Consider the following 17,318-nt stretch of genomic DNA (forward strand, 5'->3'; position numbering starts at 1 on the left):
CATACTATAAAGACACAGGAGATGACAAAGGTGCCAAATCGACCCCGGGTCATGCCTGCCCAGCCCTGCACATGCTTCAGAGCCCGGAGGAAATGCAGGAGGCCCTATGCCATGAAAAGGGGCTTGGGAAACATCCAGGGTAGCACAGTGAGGGCTGAGCTCCAGCCAGCAGATGCAAGACCCAGACCCCAGCCTGCTCTGAGCTGCCATGCCCTCCGGTATCCCGGGGGCCTCCCTGCCCTGGTCCACCCCCATCACAGCTCAGGGCCAGTCCCCAGGCCCCTGCCCACCCCCAACACCGAGTGAGGGGTGCGCAGGAGGAATCCATAGTTTACAGGGAGGGCCCTGCTGGCAGCAGGGTGTGAGGAGCGGGGAGGGGTAGCTGTCTCTGCCTGGACAGGGGCATGGGCACGGCCAGTCCCAGGCAGGTGGCGGGCTTACCCTTTGCCCACTTTCTTGTCCCCTGGCAGTTCCTGGGGTGTGGGCTCCAAGGAGGCCCAGCAGCCAGACCACCAGCTGCTTCCCCTCCCCACACAAGCCCTGGCCACAAAGCGCCCTCCCCCAACTCTGCCCGCCTGTGGTGACAGCCTCTTGGCACTAGCTCTCTCCTCCCTCCATCTGTCAGGAATCGGTGCAGACAGACTGTGAGAACCACAGAGGAAGGAGCGATACTGCGTGGACCCTCCCTGCCCCCAGCCTCCCCAGTGTGCTCCCCAGCCCACCCCATCTCTCTCTCCCTACTCCTCTGTCTCTGCCTTCTCTTCCATCTGTCTCCATCTCTCCCTACTGATGAAGACATCGACAGAGTGGGCATAGGGAGGGGAAGAGGACCAGCCAACCAGTGACCCCACTCGTAACCACCACACGCCACGGCCACAGCCCAGCCACCCATGTGGCTTCCCTTCTCCCCACCATTAAGGAGTCAGATGCTGTGGGACTATGGGCTCAGTGTCCCCATCTGTACAATGGGTGGAGTCATTCCTGCTGGCCCACCTCCCAAGGGCCACCATGAGCCTGGAGGCAACATGTGGGAAGGGCCTTGTCGACTGCAGAGACTCATACAAGGCACGTGGCCAGCGCCTCCAGCTTCTTTCTATTCATCATGAGAACAACGATCTCAGTGCTGCCCTCCACTTGGGAGGAGTGAGGCCAACATGGGACACAGACAGACAGCCACATGCCTGGAAGAATAGAAATGGCGGTGGTAACACAGGCAGGCCCATGAATGTTATGATTCTCACCACAGTCATACGAGGTGAGCAGGGCAGAGATGGGGAAACAGGCCAGGGAGGGAGGTCACACAGCTGGGCTAGAGGCAGTCTGTAACAGCGGCCAGGCCTCCTGGCCCTATCCACACAGCTCCCTACTCAGAATGTTTGGCCCTGCTCTTCCAGACCTTCCAAGATCCTCTGTTTCTTTCTTGAGTTCTCCCAAAAGGTGAGGAAGAAATCAGTCTTTTCTTTTGGCAGGCAGGGGTTGAGACAGGGTCTGGCTTCCTTACCCAGGCCAGAGTGCAGCGGCATGACTATAGCCCACTGCAACCTCAAACTCCTGGGCTCAAGCAATCCTCCTGCTTCAGCCTCCCAAGTAGCTATAGGCATGGACCATGACACCTGGCTAATTTTTTTTTTTTTTGAGAGACGGAGTCTCACTATGTTGCCCAGGCTGGCCTTGAACTCCCGGCCTTAAGTGATCCTCCCATCTCAGCCTCCCGAAAATTCTGGGATTATAGGTGTGAGCCACTGTGCCTGGCCTTTTTCTTTGTTTTTAATTAAGTGAGCCGTGCCCAGCTAGCAGATTCCACAAGGGATGGGGAGGACCTCCTGGGGACCTGAGAGAGCAGTGGCCAGGGCTTGGGGGCTCAGCTAGACTGGTCAAGTGTCCCAGTTTGCTCACAACTGAAGGGGTTCCTGAGATGCAGGATGTTGAGTTTTAAAACTGGGATAGTTCTGAGCAGCCGAGGAGCCGTGTTCAATTTATGCATGGCAAGCACATGGCAATGCTGACGTGCTGGGCAAATGAAGTGGGCGTTTTCGCTGAAAAGAGAGCAAAACCTCTGCTCACCCCTTGCTCCTGTGAAGCTTGGACCAGTGTTCCAGAGGCCCAGTGGAGGGCAAGTTCTGGTCTAGCTGCAGCCTCAGGGTCATGCGGGGCCATGTCTGATCCCAGCCACAGCATAGATGTACCCAAGGTAACAGGGAAGGGTCTTGGGTCCTCATCCCCTTCACAGCAGAGGAAGCTGAGGTTCAGAAAAGGTCACACATTAAGTTAGGGGCTGGTGCCCCCAGGGCGTGGCCTGCTTTCCCATCTGTAGATCCTCCCCAGGTTCTGGCAGGGCACCTGGCACAGAACAAACCCTCAGTGAATGTTGGAGCTGGGACCCAAAGGCTCCAGTCCACAGCAGGCGCTTCCCAGGGACTCACAGAAAACCACACCCAGTCATGTGCGGCAAGAGGGGCTGGAAACCTAGCAAGGGGTCAGGGGCACAGTGCACACTCGGAGCCCAGAGGCACCCTCCACCCCTCCTTCCTCCACCGTCCTCCACAGGTCCCTGTCCCCCTGAGGCTTGTGGACTGCATTGTGAACCACAGACTCTAAATCAGGACATCATGGTATAGAGTGTGGGGAAACACAAGGATGAGAGAGCCCAGAGGAGACTCTGACCCACCTAGGGGAGGAAGCACCCTGGAAATGGTGACTCCAGAGGTCAGGTGAGGCCGGACAAGCAGAGATGGAGCCTTCCAGGCTAGGGGCCTGCATGCAAAAGGGCCTGAGGCTTCTCTTGGAGGTGTGGCTGGACAGGAGACGCCTGGGGCTTGGGGTCAGTGCCAGGTGAGACCTGGAGAGGAGACAGGTACATGTCTGGTCTTGAAGGGCTCTGAATGTCAGTTAAGAAGACTTGGTCCTATGAGGGGTGGGCGTCACTGCAGAAGCTGAGCGAGGAAAGGGTGTAGCTTTGCATCTCTCAGAGCACTCAGCTGCAGAGCGAAGATGGGTTTGGAGGACAGAACAGAAACTAGGCAGGGGCTGCTGCTGAGATCCAGGAAGGGCATGGCAGTGGGTGGCAGGGGCGGGGGAGGCCCAGGCTGGCAGGTAGGCAGGGTGAGTGTCGGGACCTTCTTCCTTCCCCTATTCAAGGTGAGGCCTTGGGGGAAGGAAGAGAGGGGTTGTGATGACTCCCAGGTTCCTGCCCAAGGCCCAGGCAATGCCTGCACTCCGGCCTAGTCCAAGAGGCAGAAGACGTTCAGCCACAGCCCCCCAGTGCTATGTGCTGTGCCACAGTCATTGCAGGATCTGGGCGCTGCTGCCCTGCTACCCAGGAGAGCAAGCTGTCCATAACGATACCTTTGCCTCCAGGCACGGCATTTCTGTCCTCACCCTCCACTTCTCAAAGCCCTGGGAGGCAAGTCACAGGATGCAGCTAACATTTATAGAGCCTGCGAATGTGCACGCCACCAGGCCCCATGCTAGGGGAGCCAAAGCAGCAATGGCCCCAGAGAGGATGGTCCTTATCTGAGCCCACACCACAAGTCAGCTGTCACAGGCTGGACTTCCCTAAGCATGGGGGCTGTGGCAAGAATGCAGGTAGGAAGGGACATGGGGCAGGCTTGCCGTGAAGGTGGGGGCAGACTCTGTAAGCAGAGGCCCCATTAACAGAGCTGGGATCAGAGAGGGCAGGAGAGCTGCAGGAGACAGATCTGGGATTGACAGAAGAGCAGGTTTTCTAACAGGAAGAGCAGTCCAGGGGCGGGGAGCTGCTTCGTCAGTGGGTGAGCGCCCAGTCCCCGGACGCATTGGACCCCCTGACCTCCACCCCACTAGGCTGCTGAGGAAACTCCTGCACTGGGATGGAAGGGGGAGGCCGCTTTGGCCTAATGAAGATGCTGCCCACAGCTCACACATCCATTCACTCAACACCTTCACCAGGGCCTGCTCTGAGCCACGCTGGGGACAGTGGGCACCTGGGCTGGGTGGAGCAGAACCAGATAAGCCTCCTCTGTCACCCTTCTCCATCCTGATCTGGGAGGTGAGGCCAGAGCCCAGGGGGAGTAGGAGATAGAAGCATGGGTCCCTTCAGCCCTGGCTGACCATGCACCATGTCACAGGCCTGTGTCCTGGCCACTAAAGGACCAAGTGTCCATAACTTCCTAGGCATATTTAGGGCACAAAGCCAGGGGCCAGGCAGGGCCAACCATAATGTAATCTCCTTCTGCACCCCACCCCTCCTGAAGGTCCCTAAGGCTCTGGGCTCATTTCCTAATGAGGTCCCTAGAAGGCCTCTCCCTAATTAAACTGGGCCAGCAAGTGACAGCCTGGAGCGGCAGGGGAGAAAGGGAGATAAAGGAGTCTTTCTGGGGGCTCCCTGGCTCCTCCTACTCCACCCCGCAGTGCAGCAGCCCAGTAAGGATGGGGATTCCTGAAGGACAGATGGGAGAGGGAGGTTCAGAGAAGGAGGTCAAAAGAAGCCCAGGCAATCTTGAATTGAGCACTGCGCATGCACCATGCACTGCTCTTAGTGTGCCTCAGAAGTTAACTCACCTGTCAATCCCACAACCACCTTGAGGGGCGGCTCCATCCTCCAGATGAGGCAGGTGCTCAGAGAGGTGAAGTCATTTGCTTAGGGCCCCACATCTGGGAAGTGGTGAGGTGTGGACTTGACCCCAGGCGGCCTGGTAGGGCCCTGCTGTTATCCATGTCGTGATAGATCCTCTCCTGGATGAGGTAGGGGCCCGTCCTGGGGACTTGCACATCTACACCTCCCAGCTGGCTTCGCACCAAATGGGCCTGGAAGGGGCTGGGGCAGAATTTAAAAAGCTGCCCCAAGTGACACAAACCACTGATCTAATCCTCAGTCTCTCAGAGCCCCAGAGCAGGAATACACCCAGATCACATGGCATGTTGGGGACAAGGTGAGGCTGACAGCCTGGAGGGCAGCCAGCCAGGTAGGTCAGTTAGCCAGCAGCAACAAGGGATCAGGCCTCTGTCACAGAGGGGAGACATCAGCACAGGATCTTCAAGGGTGGGAGAGACCAAGGGCCAGAGGGGAGGGCAAGGCATGGTGGGGGAGGTGGCAGAGAGAACAGGGGCTCAAGCCACATGGGCTGCCAGACCACTCTGCCCTGGTTTGCTTGGTCCAATTCAGTGGTGTAAGAAGAACCGACTGGCTCATGGAACTCACACACTGAGGGCCAAGGAGGTTTCTGCTACTTTACATAGGCCAGGAATTATTTATTACCCATGTTGTTCAGAGCGGGAGTCTGGGGTTCCATTCAAGGGACTTGCCCCGGGGCCTCCCAACCAGGAAGTGGGAGAGCTGCAGCTGGAAGCCAGGTCTGGCTGCTGCTGGAGAGGCCACGCTGGCCTGATGTACCACTTGGCCCCTACAGTAGGCAGTAGAGGCAGGCTGGGAATGGGGAGGGGAGGGAGACAAAAGAGTGTTGCATAGGCAGCTGATGTAGAGTCTGCTCTCACTGGCTCATAGGTATTAAAAAATCAGCCCCGTCAGAGCTCAGCACAAAAATAAGTAGGTGTAAAAAGCCTCCAGTAGATGTAGGCTCTGCTAATAAACAGTTGTGTGGTTTAGGCCATGTCTCCTGTTGGGGCCCCATGGGGTTGGATTTCACAGCCCCTGCCCCCATGCTTCCAGCCCTGGGCCTCAGAGAACAGGGCCAGCTCCTTGGAGCACCCTGTACCTGGGGCCTGGCCATGGCAGACTCCCACCATGTGAATCCCTGACTCTTAGGGGAAAACAAAAGAATTCCACAGAATGGGATTGAGAGGGGCTGGAGATGCCCTACTCCCAAGGGGCAGAGACCCCAAGAGGGGCAAGCATCTGCCAAATGGCCACTCGGCAAGGTGGGAGCAGAGGAGGAAGGCTGCTGTTTATAACAAGCAGCCCTCTCCGGGTGGGACCAGAGCACACATGGCCTGGGGAGGAGAGGCTGCTGTGGCAGGGGGCAGGCCAGGAAGAGAGACTGCTGGCGCCTCTCCAGCTACAAATCATTCCCCACCACGACGGCCTGGTGGGGAGGCGGGGAGCTCTGGCTTGGTTTGGGCAGACTTAGCGGGTATGGGAGAAGAGTGTCATCTTGGCCCCATAGCCTCCACGGGTCCAGAATAGTCACCTCCCTCCTGGTACACAGCCCCTCCTCTGAAGCACACACCCCAAGCACACGCACATGTGCCCATGCCCATGGCCGAGAAAGGGCTCTGAGAGTGTAGGGCAGCAGATGGCGGCTCAGGGTCCAGGAAGTGGGGGAGGGAGGGAGGGGAGGAGTGCTGGCTTGAATGTCCCTGGATTCAGGCCACCAGGAAAGCCCACCCTTGGCCTCCAGCTATTCAGTCGGGCAGCTTAACCTGGGCCTGATGGGACCTTCCTGCCTCTCATCAGCTGCCAAGTCTCTGATGTTAGCCTGGACCCACTGGGGAACCAAGGCCCCACGTGGCTAACTACCGTGGCAGGCCCGGCTGGCTAACCAGCCCCACTGGGCCACTCAGGAAGCAGCCACCCTGGGGCCCCAGCGCAGATGGGGTGGGATGAGATGGCTCCGACAGTCCCTCCCAGCCCGAGGAGCTGCTGTTCTCTCAGGCAGCCAAGTCCTCCCAACTGGCCAGTTGACCTAAATCTCTCCTGCTGCTATTTTGCTGCTGCCCTCTTGTTGTGTCCTTGGTGGAGGAGGAGGAAAGCTGAGGACGGTTCCTTTTACTCAGCCATTCCCTGTGCAGGAATCACAGGCTCAGGAAGGGAAGGGAAACGCTCATTTTCAGGGCCAGGCTCTGGGCAAAGTACTTTCCTCAGCCCGCACACCTCCGGAATATGGGCTCATTTTCCCGCTTTCGGAAAGTCTCATGAAGCTGGTGGGCCTCACTCCATTTTTCTCCATCACTGCACTGCATCCGGCCCAATTGTGAGTGCAGGAAGAAGGCAGAAGGGAAAGTCACCCAAGGAACCTGGGCCTCAGGGTGGAGCTCTGGAAGTGGAGCTAAGGAGTCCAGCTGCCCTGTTTCCCTGCCCAGAATCCAGCCCACCAAGCCAGCTATACTCCCCGCACTGTCACCAGGTAGTAAGGCACAGATCCCTGCCCTAGGCAAGGACTGGCCAGCTCCAGCCCTGAACCCAGCTCCAGGCACAGGAGTCTGCTCCAAGTGCTGGGGGCAGTGCAGGTGGAATAAGGACCAATGAGTGAAAGGAAAATGAAGTTCAGAGAGGGAGAGCCATTCACCCAAGGTCACACAGCAAGTTAGGGGCATAGATAGAAGAATTAGAACGCTGCGGAGGAGATGCCTTCTACCAATATCCTGAGAAGAATGAAGGAACAGTTTTGTACTCTTCTGCTTTTTTTTTTTTTTGGTGGGGGTGAAAGCCCTTGGGGCCAGAACACCGCTCGTTGTTCTCTCTCCTGGCTTTGCTTTCTGTGGCCTGGATATGGCTGCTTTGTCCCATGGGACCAGAATGAGGTGGCCCTGTGCTCAGAGAAGAGGGAAGTCCTTCAGCTGCCTGCCTCGCTGGAAAGGAGAGCCATGGGGCCATAGAGGGAGAGAGTTGTGAGATGGGAAAGATTCTCCCCTCTAGAGAGCAGAACGGCAATGATGAAAATGCACACACTCAGCAGCTCCTTTCCTAAGAACTTATCTTAAAGAAAGGACCAAGCAAATGCACAAGGATGGAGTTCAAGGATGTCCATCCTAGCATTGCACAGAGCAGGGAAAAACATGGAAGCAACCAAACACACATCTATCAACGGGAGAAAATGTCATTAAATTATGGAAGATCCACACAATACAATACTATCTAGCCCTTTAAAACAAGGATGTGAACTACTGTTATTGCCATAGAAAGCCATATGTGAAAACAACCGGCATAACATGGCCTCATTTTTGTTAAAAAAAAAAAATACATATGTTCATGCCCAAGAGCTCACATGCAGAGAAAAATCTCTAGAAGGCTATGCTGCTTACATAGTGGTACTAGCAAGGGTGAGAACTACCTTCGTCCAAGCTGGAGTGCAGTGGTGTGATCTCGGCTCACTGCAACCTTCGTTTCCTGTTCTTTATTAACTATGTTTTTCATTACAAGTGTAAAGTTACTTTCAGCTAACCAGAAGTTACTTACCCTGGAAAACTAAATAAGTAAAATCAGTTGAAGTGAGTTTTAGCTCCAGAACTACCAATAACTGGGTGAGTCTCTTATCCTCTCTGAGCCTCGTTTTCCTCATCAAGGAATGGGGATCATAATGAACTCCTGCACCGCCTGCCTCCCAGGAGCACACCTGTGAGGCACCAACTGGAAAAGCCATCCAAGGATTACGGCAGGTTGAGAGGGCTGGAAACTAAGATGCCCTCCAGAGTGGCTGGGATGAAGTCCCCTGTGGTACCTCAAGGCCAGTGACCAGGGGAGGATGGGGGCCAAATGACCACTCCCGTGGACTCCTAGACAGACTGGCAGACAGCTTTGGGGTGTCTGTCCTGCCACATGCCACGTTCCAAGGGGCAGGCGTGTAGAGGCCATGAGGGGTCATGGGAACTGTGTGCACCACATGAGCCCCACAGCCCTGGGCTCGCTGGGTGACTCTCAGTTTCCCAAGGACACTCCATGGCGCCTGAGAGCATGCCGCATTCTATGCCCCCAAAGCAGCTAGGCCCGGCTCTCCCATTGTGGGTACCTAGGCTGGGCCCCACCAGAGACAAAGAGGTCAGAGCGGGTACAGTCAGTGAGGAACTCGGTCAAGACTGAGCAGGATTCCCCTGAAGGCCCTCAGCCCCTCCCCTGCCACTCCGGCTGCGGGGTGATTACTGGAGTCTATGACATATGGCAGCTTGTGAGAGGAGCTGGGGTGAGCAGGGCTGATAATTAAAACCGCTGCCGGGGGACCCAGCTCATGCTGGAGGGCGCCCAAGGGGCTGGGCTGCTCAGGAGGGAGTTGGCACACCCACTAGCAGGTGCTGGCAAAGAGGGACGCCTGGAAAGGAAGAGAGGCCCCAGCACAGCCTGCAAGCCACACTTTACTGTCATCGTGACTGGGATGTGTGAATGCATATCTCCTTTCAGCTGCCTCAGACCTGCAGCCAGACAGGCATGGCCCAGTCCTGCCACTGACCAGCGGGGCCACCCGGGGCAAGTGACTTCATCTCTCAGAGTCTTGGTTCTCTCCTCTGCGAAATGCAGTCATGATACCTCAAGGCACCGGCTGAAGGAGGTCTTGCATGAGAAAGCCCCTCACTAGCTCGCTCCCTAACTCTTCTTAGTGTTAACGTGAGTATTTTAGATGACTTCTTGGCAATCCAGAAGTGGGCAAGCAGGGCCCAGTGGGGCCAGTGGTGCACCTGAGGTCCCCAGTCAGGAGCCCAAAGCCCTTCGGTACTGCAAAAGGCTTGTGTCCACCCCTCAGCCTGAGAGCACCCTGTTCCCGGATCCAGCAGGGAACAAAGAGGGTGGGGGTGGGAGGGGGAAGCACATACAGTTCTGACTCCAGTCCCACCCAGAATTGAGGACACCTGAGTTCTGAGAATGGTGCCCTACTGACGATGGAGCCAATTCGACCATCAGGGCCTTAGTTTCACCTTTCTAAGCCTGGGTGCGAGGAGGCAGCCAGGCCCCGTGTTACTACAGAGAGTAAAAGAGATGACCCTGGGCTGACACTCCCTGAGGTCATGTGCATCACTATCATCAGGTTCTCAGTTTCCCCTTCCATACAGTCAGAAGAAGAATCAGCATCTAACAGGCAAAGGCTGAGAGAAGCCTATGAAAACTGGAATGTCATCCCCATGGGAGCTGGAAAAGGCCTATGTGAGGGCTCTGCGGGGTCTCCAGAGAACAGGGTCCCTCCCCAGTCCCACTCCCCAGGTCAGAAACTGGTAGCTCAGGGAGGCACTGCTGAGTCCTGCAGCTGCTCCCTACTTCCTCCCACACCCTCCAAGCACCAGCCTCTGACCCCACCAGGGTAGACAGCGCTCAGCGGGGAACGGCTTAAGAAGAGTCTGGGCTCCAGACCAGACAGACCTGGGTCAGCTCCTGGCTCCACCACTTAATGGTCATGACATTGGCCAAGTTCCGTCTCCTTTCTGAGCCTCAGTTTCATCATCTTCGAAATGAGAACGAAAAACTAGCCCTCCCAGGGTTGTGAGTAGTGAAGTTAAAGGATGTGAATTGTCCAACGTGGTCCCAGGCATGGGATATAGGCAGCCAATAGCTGTTATTAGCTACCCCTTGAGGAAACGACTTTGGAATTCCTACTGCCCAGCACAAGGCTGGCGGAGTGCACAATGTTGAGAAGGATCTGCAACTGCGGGAAGAAAAAGGACACGTTGTGGGAGCTCAGGGCCTGAGGGGCTGGAGGACAGGGGTCTAGAAAGGCATCTCTGGAGGAAGTGGCATCCCTGCCAGGCCTTCAGAGCCTGGGTGATCTGGATGTGTGGGCATTTGGGGGGCAGGTGCTACCAACGTTACTTAGGCCTGGGGCTGCAAGGCCTGGCTCCACAACCCTAAGGACACAACCCCACACCCTCCCACAGACCCCAGTGCTGGCCCCCTGGGACAGCATGGGCCTGGGAGTAGACCACTAACCTGGTGCTGGGAGAGCATGCATGCATTTACTTCCTTCAAGGGCGTGCCTGTTCCATCCGCCCTCTGGGCTCTCGCTCCTCACTGCCCCCTGGGGGTCTCTCTCTCTCTGGCTTCACCTGCTACCAGCATTTCCCCAAGGAGGAAAGTTGTCAAGTCGGCCACCAGCAGACAACTGGGGAGGAAGAAGCCAACCATCCCTGAGGCCCAAGGGACTCACACCGGGGAATGCTGACCTGGGAGGGCCCAAGGGAAAGTCTTCAGCAAACACTCCCAAGGCCTGCTAGGGCCTGCTGGGCAGTGCCATGGGGGATGCAGGCCCTCCTCTCCTCCCCAGGCACAGCCAAGAGGAAAGGAGCAGACAGGACAGAAGCCAGCCTCTAGGACCAGCACACAGCCAGAGGGAAGCCATCCGCTGCCCCTCCTAGGGCCCTAGGCCTGTTTGACTCATTTCTTCCCCCAGCTCCTTTCCAAGCAGCTTTCTGTCACCTCTACGGTGGCTGGGCAACTCCCTGGCTGAGGCGAGCACCAGCTGCAGGAACCTCGACATCTGGCTAAGCAGACAGGAGCAGGGGAAGCAAGGGGTCCGGGTTGGCCTGCAAAGACCAGACGTCAGGTACCTAGAGACCTCAGTGAAACCCCTCCCACCAAGAACAACCTCACCCACTGCCATTCACTGAACACCTCCTGCTTACCAGGCATGTGACCTCATTTAATCCTCACATTTAATCTCCGAAAAGGAGGGCCTAGTATCATCCTCACAACCATTCATCCAGGAGGCGACAGCTGGGATGTAAAAACCAGGTGTGTCTGAGTTGTGACTTTGACATGGGTCTCTAAGTAACTCAAATCCTGTATCTCAGCCTGGAGGCAATGGGGTGTCAGGGAAGGCTTCCTAGAGGAGGTGACACCTGCACCGGATCTCTTAGGATGATAAAATGAATCCAGCCAGTGAGGGAGCAGGGTGTCCGGCAGGAGGAATAGCACACACAAAGGCCTGGAGGTGAGAAGCAGCAGGAGGGTGAGAGTGTGGCAGAAGCTAATTTGGTGTCACAGGCTCACAGGAAGAGGCGGGAAGAGGTTGCAGGGAAGTGGGTAACAGGAGCAGGTCACAGAGGGCCAAATACAGAGGAGTCTACACTGACTTTATTCTCTGGATAGTTGGGAGCCCCAGGAGGACTCTGGATGGTGGAGTTGCCCGGTCAGGTGAAGACGGGGAGGTTCAGAAAGGAGCCACACTGTCGTCAGATGGCTCCATCCACGAAGGAGATGAGGCTGGGTCCAGTGTCAGGAGCACACGTCCAGGCCGCACACTGAGGGCCAGATGCGGGCTACAGCACAGGCAGGGAGCTGTGGCCGAGCTTTAATTATTTATGAGGCTGTTTCCCAGCAAGACTCAGCACTCCTGCAGCCTGGCCTTGCCCAGCTAATGAACTCTCAGCCATGGGAGACCTCCCTGTGGCCACTCTTTATTAAACCTGGGATGGAGGGGTGATGGGTGCTGGGATAACAAAAGAGTCCAAAGAAGCCTGAACAAAGTCGAGGTCAGTGAGCACAAAACTGGTCCACCTGTCTACCCAGCCTTTCCGCGAGAAGCACAGAACTTCCTAGAGGAGGAAGCGAGGTGGAGTAGCCTTAAGATGTCATCTCAAGACAGGGAAATGAAGGCCTGGGAAGGACCTACCTAAGTCACCAGCCAGTACTTGAGACAGTACAAGTTCCATAGCTGGTCACCCGCATTCACACCCCAGCAGTTCTACACCCTTGGGCCAGTTACGTAACCCGTCTGTGCCTCGATGAGATAGGACTATTTCAGGTACTTCATAGTGTTGCCCCATTTTATAGAATAGAGGAACGAGGGGCGATGTGTGGACAATCTCAGCACGATGCCCGGTCCACAGCAAGTGCCCAGACAGCGTTCATCGGCGCTATGGTTACTGTTGTGACTCTGGGAGTAAAGGCCAGGCCAGAGACCGGAATCTCTGCCTCTGCCCCCAGACACTAGGGAGCAACAGGAAACTGAGGCCCAGGGGCCAGCTGGCCTACGTGACCCAGGCCCACAGCCAGGAATCCCACCCGACTTCCCCTGGCTGGGCTTCCTTGGGCCTGGCTCTCTAGCTTCCAGCTCCTTCCTCCACTTTGAAGGTTCTTTGAGCTGAGAACTAAAGCCCCAGGAGCTTTTCCCTCTTCCATCCCGCAAGCTCCATCTGTGTCTCCAAAGAGCCAAGTCCCAGCCACTGTGGATGAGGCTCGGGACTTAGAAGGCCTCAGTTTGAGTTCCAGCTCCAACCCTGAGGAGCTCTGTGACTTTGGGGGAGTCACTTCACCTCTCCAAGCCTATGTCCTCTATAATATAGGAACAATACCACCTGTTTTTAAATGGTAAACTCTGGGGGAATGCTATTAGTTACCATCTTTCAGGCCTAGTTCAGCAGTCTCCTCCTCCAGGAAGCCTTTCTTGGCTTCCTTAAAAGTTCCCTCCTTCCAGCCTCTTGGTATTCAGGGGCTGCATTCTGGCCCCTTTGGGAACTTGGACTCATTTTGCCTCACGCAGACTCTATCTACAAATTCCAACCCCCATTTTGCAGGCCCAGAGATGTACAAAGGTGGGGCAGCTCAAGCCCTCTTGCAGGGTGGTGTGCCAAAGAGGGTGGTCAGGGGTAAGGCACGGAGACTGCTCAGGGAGGAGCAGATTTTGTTATCCCAGCACCTATCACCCCTCCATCCCAGGTTTAATAAAGAGCTCCTCAGGGACGAGCCAACAGCTCTCTCTCCTGCAGGGAGAACAGTTCAAAGAAATTCAGTCTGGGCAGGTGGCCTAGAATGCGGGAAGGGCTGAGGAAAGAACATTTTCCAGCACCTGGCCCCAACACAGCCACGTAAGCCCCACTCCGTTTCTTCAGTTTCCCTTTATGGCTACCAGGAGTCCGTTTCTAAAGGCCGTGGAGGTGGGAACACTCATCCATCCGTTCCCTTCTTGCCAGCCCTGTGTGTCTATGTGCACAGCCAGCGTTGGAGGGACAGCTGCCCCTGTTTGGCAGATGAGGAAACAAGCTCAGAAAAGCCAAGCCATGTGTGATTACTACTTGGTACTATCAGCAGCGCCGCCACCCTTTCCACTCCAAGCTTGACGTCATTCACTTTTGTTTAATAACTCCCTGCCTATGACTCTACCCCATGCATCTCAGAGCCATGCAGGAGCCCAGCTTGGCCATTGGAGCTCTCTTGGCCCACCTGAGCGTCACTCAGCACCCAGCTACTTTACTCCTCCATCTCGTCCAAAGCCTCACATGGAGCTGAAACGCACCAGGCCTAACATTTAAAGCCCGTCTTTCCAGCTCCTAGATCACACTCCTGGTGCTTTCCGCACCACACTCCCCACCTCAGCAGACAGTGCCCTGAACTCGAGGCAGGCAGAGATCCTGACCAAGTTCTGTCATCCTGAGCTGTGTGACCTTGCATAAGTCACTCAACTTCTCTGAGGAGGCATCCTTATCTAGAAAGTAGAATGACAAGAAAATTTCTGCTTTTCACAGCCATCCTCACAAGGACAGTTGTTATAAAGAGCCAGGGAGATAAGGCATAACCAGCCCAGACACGCAGTTTCTATTCCTTGCCTCGTCCTCAGTACTCCCACTCTAAGGAGACCACAGAACAACTCCCAGTGAGGAAACTCACTGCAATATTTTACCAAGGCACAGCCATTTTCATAACCTCAACAGCACTGGGAAATGGTCCAGGGTCATGATTAGACTAAGAACTCTAGAGTTAGATGCTTAAGTTCAGGCTCCTACTTAACAACTCAGTAGCTGCTAAGCAGGTAACTTCACAGTTCAGTGCCTCAGTTTTTGTTGGTTTGTTTGTTTTGTTTTTTAATCTCTAAAATAGGACTGTTATGAAGATTAAAGGAGTTTATACAAGATAAGTACTTACTGCAGTGCTTGGCACAGTTAATGGTCAGCACACATTAGTCTCATTACTTCCAATTTCGCTTCTAGAACTGGTCCTCAAAACAGTCCAATGATGTTGCTGGGGCAGGAATTATGTGAACCCAAGTGGTCAGGTGAGGAAACTGAGGCAGGAGGGAAAGATGTGCTAGAGACATAGACTCAGTCAGTCTAGTTCTGCCACGCACAAGACACAAAGCCAACTTTGGGTTAGGTCTGAAAGTGAACGGGAGGGTGACTGGCAAACAGTCAAAAACCAAAACGATTCAACAGAGAGGGTGCCTGTCCAAGTGTCCCGTGACCCTTCCTGTGCAGTGTGGGGCTGTGGGCCTGTCCACCTGTCGCCCTCCTCCCTCAGACCCCGTCAGTGCTCCCTGGCTGGCAGGGCTGGCCTGTCTTGGAGGGCGCCCCAGCGCCTGGCACGCAGCAGATGCTCCCGAATGATGAATGAATGACTGCCCGGGTCTATGTCTCTAGGAGAGCCCTGTTTTTCTGTTCCCGGAGCTACATTTCTTCCACCGTGACAACTGCCTGCTAACTAGCTCCCGGTCCCGCAGACACTCTGAAACCCTGTGCACTCTGAGAAGAAACTTCTAAATCAGTCGCGCACGCCCAGCAAAGGCGGCCGGCAGCCGTTTCACGCGTGGCCTCGGGCTTCTCGGGCCCCTTCCAGGAAACAAACTCTCCCTCCTGGTACCCTCCTTCCTGGTGTGCCACATGACTCAGAGCCGGGCAGGGCTAGCAGGAAAGCGCGGTCTGCTAACCAGGGTGGCTCAAAAAGGTCTTCACTGTGACTCGGCAGAAAAGCGGCGCCCGAGCCCCGCCTGCACCTACCACCCTAAGGATATGCGCGGGGGTGTGGCCGGGGCGGGGCCGGGGCAGGGCAGGGCGGTGCCCCCGCGCCCAGGGAACCCGAATACTACACATCCGTCTGCTCCGCGATTGGCCGCTCCGGCCACGGGGGCCTATGGGGTGGTCCTCGCCCAGCCAATCAGGGGCCCTGGGGAGCCCATTCATTCACAAAAACTGAGCAGGAAAAGGAGCGCAGTGCGGCCCGGAGCTGCGTGGAACTTTGAAACACGCGCGCGTCCCGCGGGGCCGAGGCAAGAGTCCGAGAGGGCCGTGTTTCGGGAAGCTAGACCTTTGCAGGGACTGCCGCGTCCCCGCCCACAGCTCCGGTTCAGTCTCCCCAGCATGGTGCGCCTTCCTCCTCCGGCACACTGCCCGGGGCTCCGCCCCGGCCCCACCAGGACACGCCAGCTTTCCTGCCCGCTCCGGGTCGCTAAGAGCCACCCGGCCCCGAGGGAGGCGGTGCCCAGGCGGTTTCCCGGTCGCAGGCTCCGGCGGCAAGTCCCGCGCAGGTGGCAGCGCGGCGGCTGCAGCCACGTGCGCGCCAAGCATGGTGCCCCCCACCGTTCCTTTTCTCTCCCCGGGTCTGAGCTCCCTGGCCCGCCACTCACGGCAGTCGTCCTCGTCGCTGTGGTCTAAGCAGTCATCGTCCTCGTCGCATCTCCACACAGAGGGGATGCAGCGCTCGTTCCGGCACTGGAATTGGTCCTTTTCGCAATCCTTGGCCGGCCCTGCGAGGGGGAGGGAGCGTGAGCTGGATCAGCGGACTCGGCCCCACTCCCCACCATGCAGTCCGGGCCACCCGGAAGGACCCGCTGGGGAGGAGGAAAGGGGGCGATTATGGAGACCCCGGGGGCTTCAGGCACACTCCATCCAAAGGGAGGGCACGATGGCAGGGGTTCCGTGGATGTCGGGCCGCTCGGTGGCACGGCGAGACCAGGCACCTACTTAAAGTGTCACACGACCTGGGTATACCCTCCATTCAGACGCACTCACCCGCACACGCGACCCATAGTCAGAGATCTGCTCAGATACAGCCCATAGGGAGTCCCCGCGCCCGCGCGCCAGGCGCAGTGGGAGCCGCAGGCACATCACCCTGGCAGGCAGCCCCCTCTCTCTCCGCCGCGCGCAGGGGTCTGCGGAAACGCATTGTCAAGCGGAGAAGCCGCCCGGCTCTGCTCATTACCGCCGCGGAGCGCGCGTGTCAAATAAACCCCAACGGCGAGAATCACACAGCTCATCCGGAACCATGAATGGCCGCCCCTCCGGCAAAGTTCCCCGCTGGCCAAGCCCCCCTGCACCCCTCCCCCAAGATCCGCTGCCCAGAGGGCAGAGCCCTCAACACCGAGGCCCGCGGGGGCGGGGGGCCGAGGGCAAATTCAGGAATAGCCGCTTCGCGTGGAGCCTGTCCGCCCGGGAGCCCCCGATAGCCCCGGGTTCTGGACCCCTCCCCGCTCCGGCCTCCCGGCCGCGCTTTGTTGGTGGCTAGGGCGGAGCAGAGCCGAGTCAGAGACCGGCTGCACGCACCTTGGCCGCCGAGCAGCGGATCAGCCGCTGCCGCCGCAAGATGCTGGAGCTGCAGCAGCAGCAGCAGCAGCAGCAGCAGCAGCAGCGCCAGAAGCCGGAGAGGGCCCGGCTCGGGGAGGCCCATGGCGGGCCCGGGGCTCCGGCCGCCGCGCCCCGCGCTCCCCGCGCCGCCGCCGCCGCGTCTCAGCCCTCCGAGTCCTTGCCGCGGCGCCGGGGTTGCCGCTGCCCCCGCCGCCGCCGCCGCCGCCGCTGCCGCCCGCCCCGGCTCCTCGGCTGCATTTCAAGCAGGTTCGGTGACGCTCGGCGGCGGGGCGGGCTCAGGCTGGGCGCGCGGCCCCGGCCCTGGGCGGCCGCCGCCAGCGCGCGCGCTCCCTCCCGCTGCCGCCTCCGCCCCACGCTCCCCCTGCCGCCGCCTCCTCGCCCTCCTCCCTCCT

At 57.5% G+C, this 17,318-nt stretch overlaps 1 protein-coding gene across 4 annotated transcripts in view, besides 11 other annotated features; it reads right to left on the bottom strand.

Moving 5' to 3' along the window:
- The window catches only part of LRP8 (LDL receptor related protein 8), an 85,707-nt gene extending 68,541 nt beyond the window's left edge, over positions 1 to 17,166 (bottom strand). For all 4 annotated transcript variants that reach the window (NM_033300.4, NM_017522.5, NM_001018054.3 and 1 more), the window contains exons 1-2: positions 16,885 to 17,166; positions 15,969 to 16,088 (exon numbers count right to left, since the gene is read on the bottom strand). In NM_033300.4, the coding sequence (NP_150643.2) occupies positions 15,969 to 16,088; positions 16,885 to 17,008 (244 nt within the window). In that variant the 5' untranslated portion in view covers positions 17,009 to 17,166. The remainder of the gene's footprint in view (positions 1 to 15,968; positions 16,089 to 16,884) is intronic.
- Positions 1,007 to 1,506: an enhancer, noted in NCBI's record as "H3K4me1 hESC enhancer chr1:53777583-53778082 (GRCh37/hg19 assembly coordinates)". NCBI's record gives its function as "activates a minimal SCP1, AML or CMV promoter by ChIP-STARR-seq in naive H9 embryonic stem cells {active_cell/tissue: H9 hESC(naive)}" and the evidence as "EXISTENCE:reporter gene assay evidence [ECO:0000049][PMID:30033119]".
- Positions 8,003 to 8,688: an enhancer, noted in NCBI's record as "H3K4me1 hESC enhancer chr1:53784579-53785264 (GRCh37/hg19 assembly coordinates)". NCBI's record gives its function as "activates a minimal SCP1, AML or CMV promoter by ChIP-STARR-seq in primed H9 embryonic stem cells {active_cell/tissue: H9 hESC(primed)}" and the evidence as "EXISTENCE:reporter gene assay evidence [ECO:0000049][PMID:30033119]".
- Positions 8,689 to 9,374: an enhancer, noted in NCBI's record as "H3K4me1 hESC enhancer chr1:53785265-53785950 (GRCh37/hg19 assembly coordinates)". NCBI's record gives its function as "activates a minimal SCP1, AML or CMV promoter by ChIP-STARR-seq in primed H9 embryonic stem cells {active_cell/tissue: H9 hESC(primed)}" and the evidence as "EXISTENCE:reporter gene assay evidence [ECO:0000049][PMID:30033119]".
- Positions 14,379 to 15,134: an enhancer, noted in NCBI's record as "H3K27ac-H3K4me1 hESC enhancer chr1:53790955-53791710 (GRCh37/hg19 assembly coordinates)". NCBI's record gives its function as "activates a minimal SCP1, AML or CMV promoter by ChIP-STARR-seq in primed H9 embryonic stem cells {active_cell/tissue: H9 hESC(primed)}" and the evidence as "EXISTENCE:reporter gene assay evidence [ECO:0000049][PMID:30033119]".
- Positions 15,233 to 15,512: a silencer, noted in NCBI's record as "silent region_905". NCBI's record gives its function as "represses an Ori minimal core promoter by ATAC-STARR-seq in GM12878 lymphoblastoid cells {active_cell/tissue: GM12878}" and the evidence as "EXISTENCE:reporter gene assay evidence [ECO:0000049][PMID:35858748]".
- Positions 15,773 to 15,832: a silencer, noted in NCBI's record as "silent region_906". NCBI's record gives its function as "represses an Ori minimal core promoter by ATAC-STARR-seq in GM12878 lymphoblastoid cells {active_cell/tissue: GM12878}" and the evidence as "EXISTENCE:reporter gene assay evidence [ECO:0000049][PMID:35858748]".
- Positions 15,853 to 16,147: a silencer, noted in NCBI's record as "tiled region #13758; HepG2 Repressive non-DNase unmatched - State 1:Tss, and K562 Repressive non-DNase unmatched - State 1:Tss". NCBI's record gives its function as "represses a minimal TATA promoter and a strong SV40 promoter by Sharpr-MPRA in HepG2 and K562 cells {active_cell/tissue: HepG2 | K562}" and the evidence as "EXISTENCE:reporter gene assay evidence [ECO:0000049][PMID:27701403]".
- Positions 16,213 to 16,322: an enhancer, noted in NCBI's record as "active region_1045". NCBI's record gives its function as "activates an Ori minimal core promoter by ATAC-STARR-seq in GM12878 lymphoblastoid cells {active_cell/tissue: GM12878}" and the evidence as "EXISTENCE:reporter gene assay evidence [ECO:0000049][PMID:35858748]".
- Positions 16,663 to 16,832: a silencer, noted in NCBI's record as "silent region_907". NCBI's record gives its function as "represses an Ori minimal core promoter by ATAC-STARR-seq in GM12878 lymphoblastoid cells {active_cell/tissue: GM12878}" and the evidence as "EXISTENCE:reporter gene assay evidence [ECO:0000049][PMID:35858748]".
- Positions 16,883 to 17,032: a silencer, noted in NCBI's record as "silent region_908". NCBI's record gives its function as "represses an Ori minimal core promoter by ATAC-STARR-seq in GM12878 lymphoblastoid cells {active_cell/tissue: GM12878}" and the evidence as "EXISTENCE:reporter gene assay evidence [ECO:0000049][PMID:35858748]".
- Positions 17,103 to 17,302: a silencer, noted in NCBI's record as "silent region_909". NCBI's record gives its function as "represses an Ori minimal core promoter by ATAC-STARR-seq in GM12878 lymphoblastoid cells {active_cell/tissue: GM12878}" and the evidence as "EXISTENCE:reporter gene assay evidence [ECO:0000049][PMID:35858748]".

This window comes from Homo sapiens, chromosome 1, assembly GCF_000001405.40.
Source record: "Homo sapiens chromosome 1, GRCh38.p14 Primary Assembly".
Taxonomy (NCBI): Eukaryota; Metazoa; Chordata; class Mammalia; order Primates; family Hominidae; genus Homo; species Homo sapiens.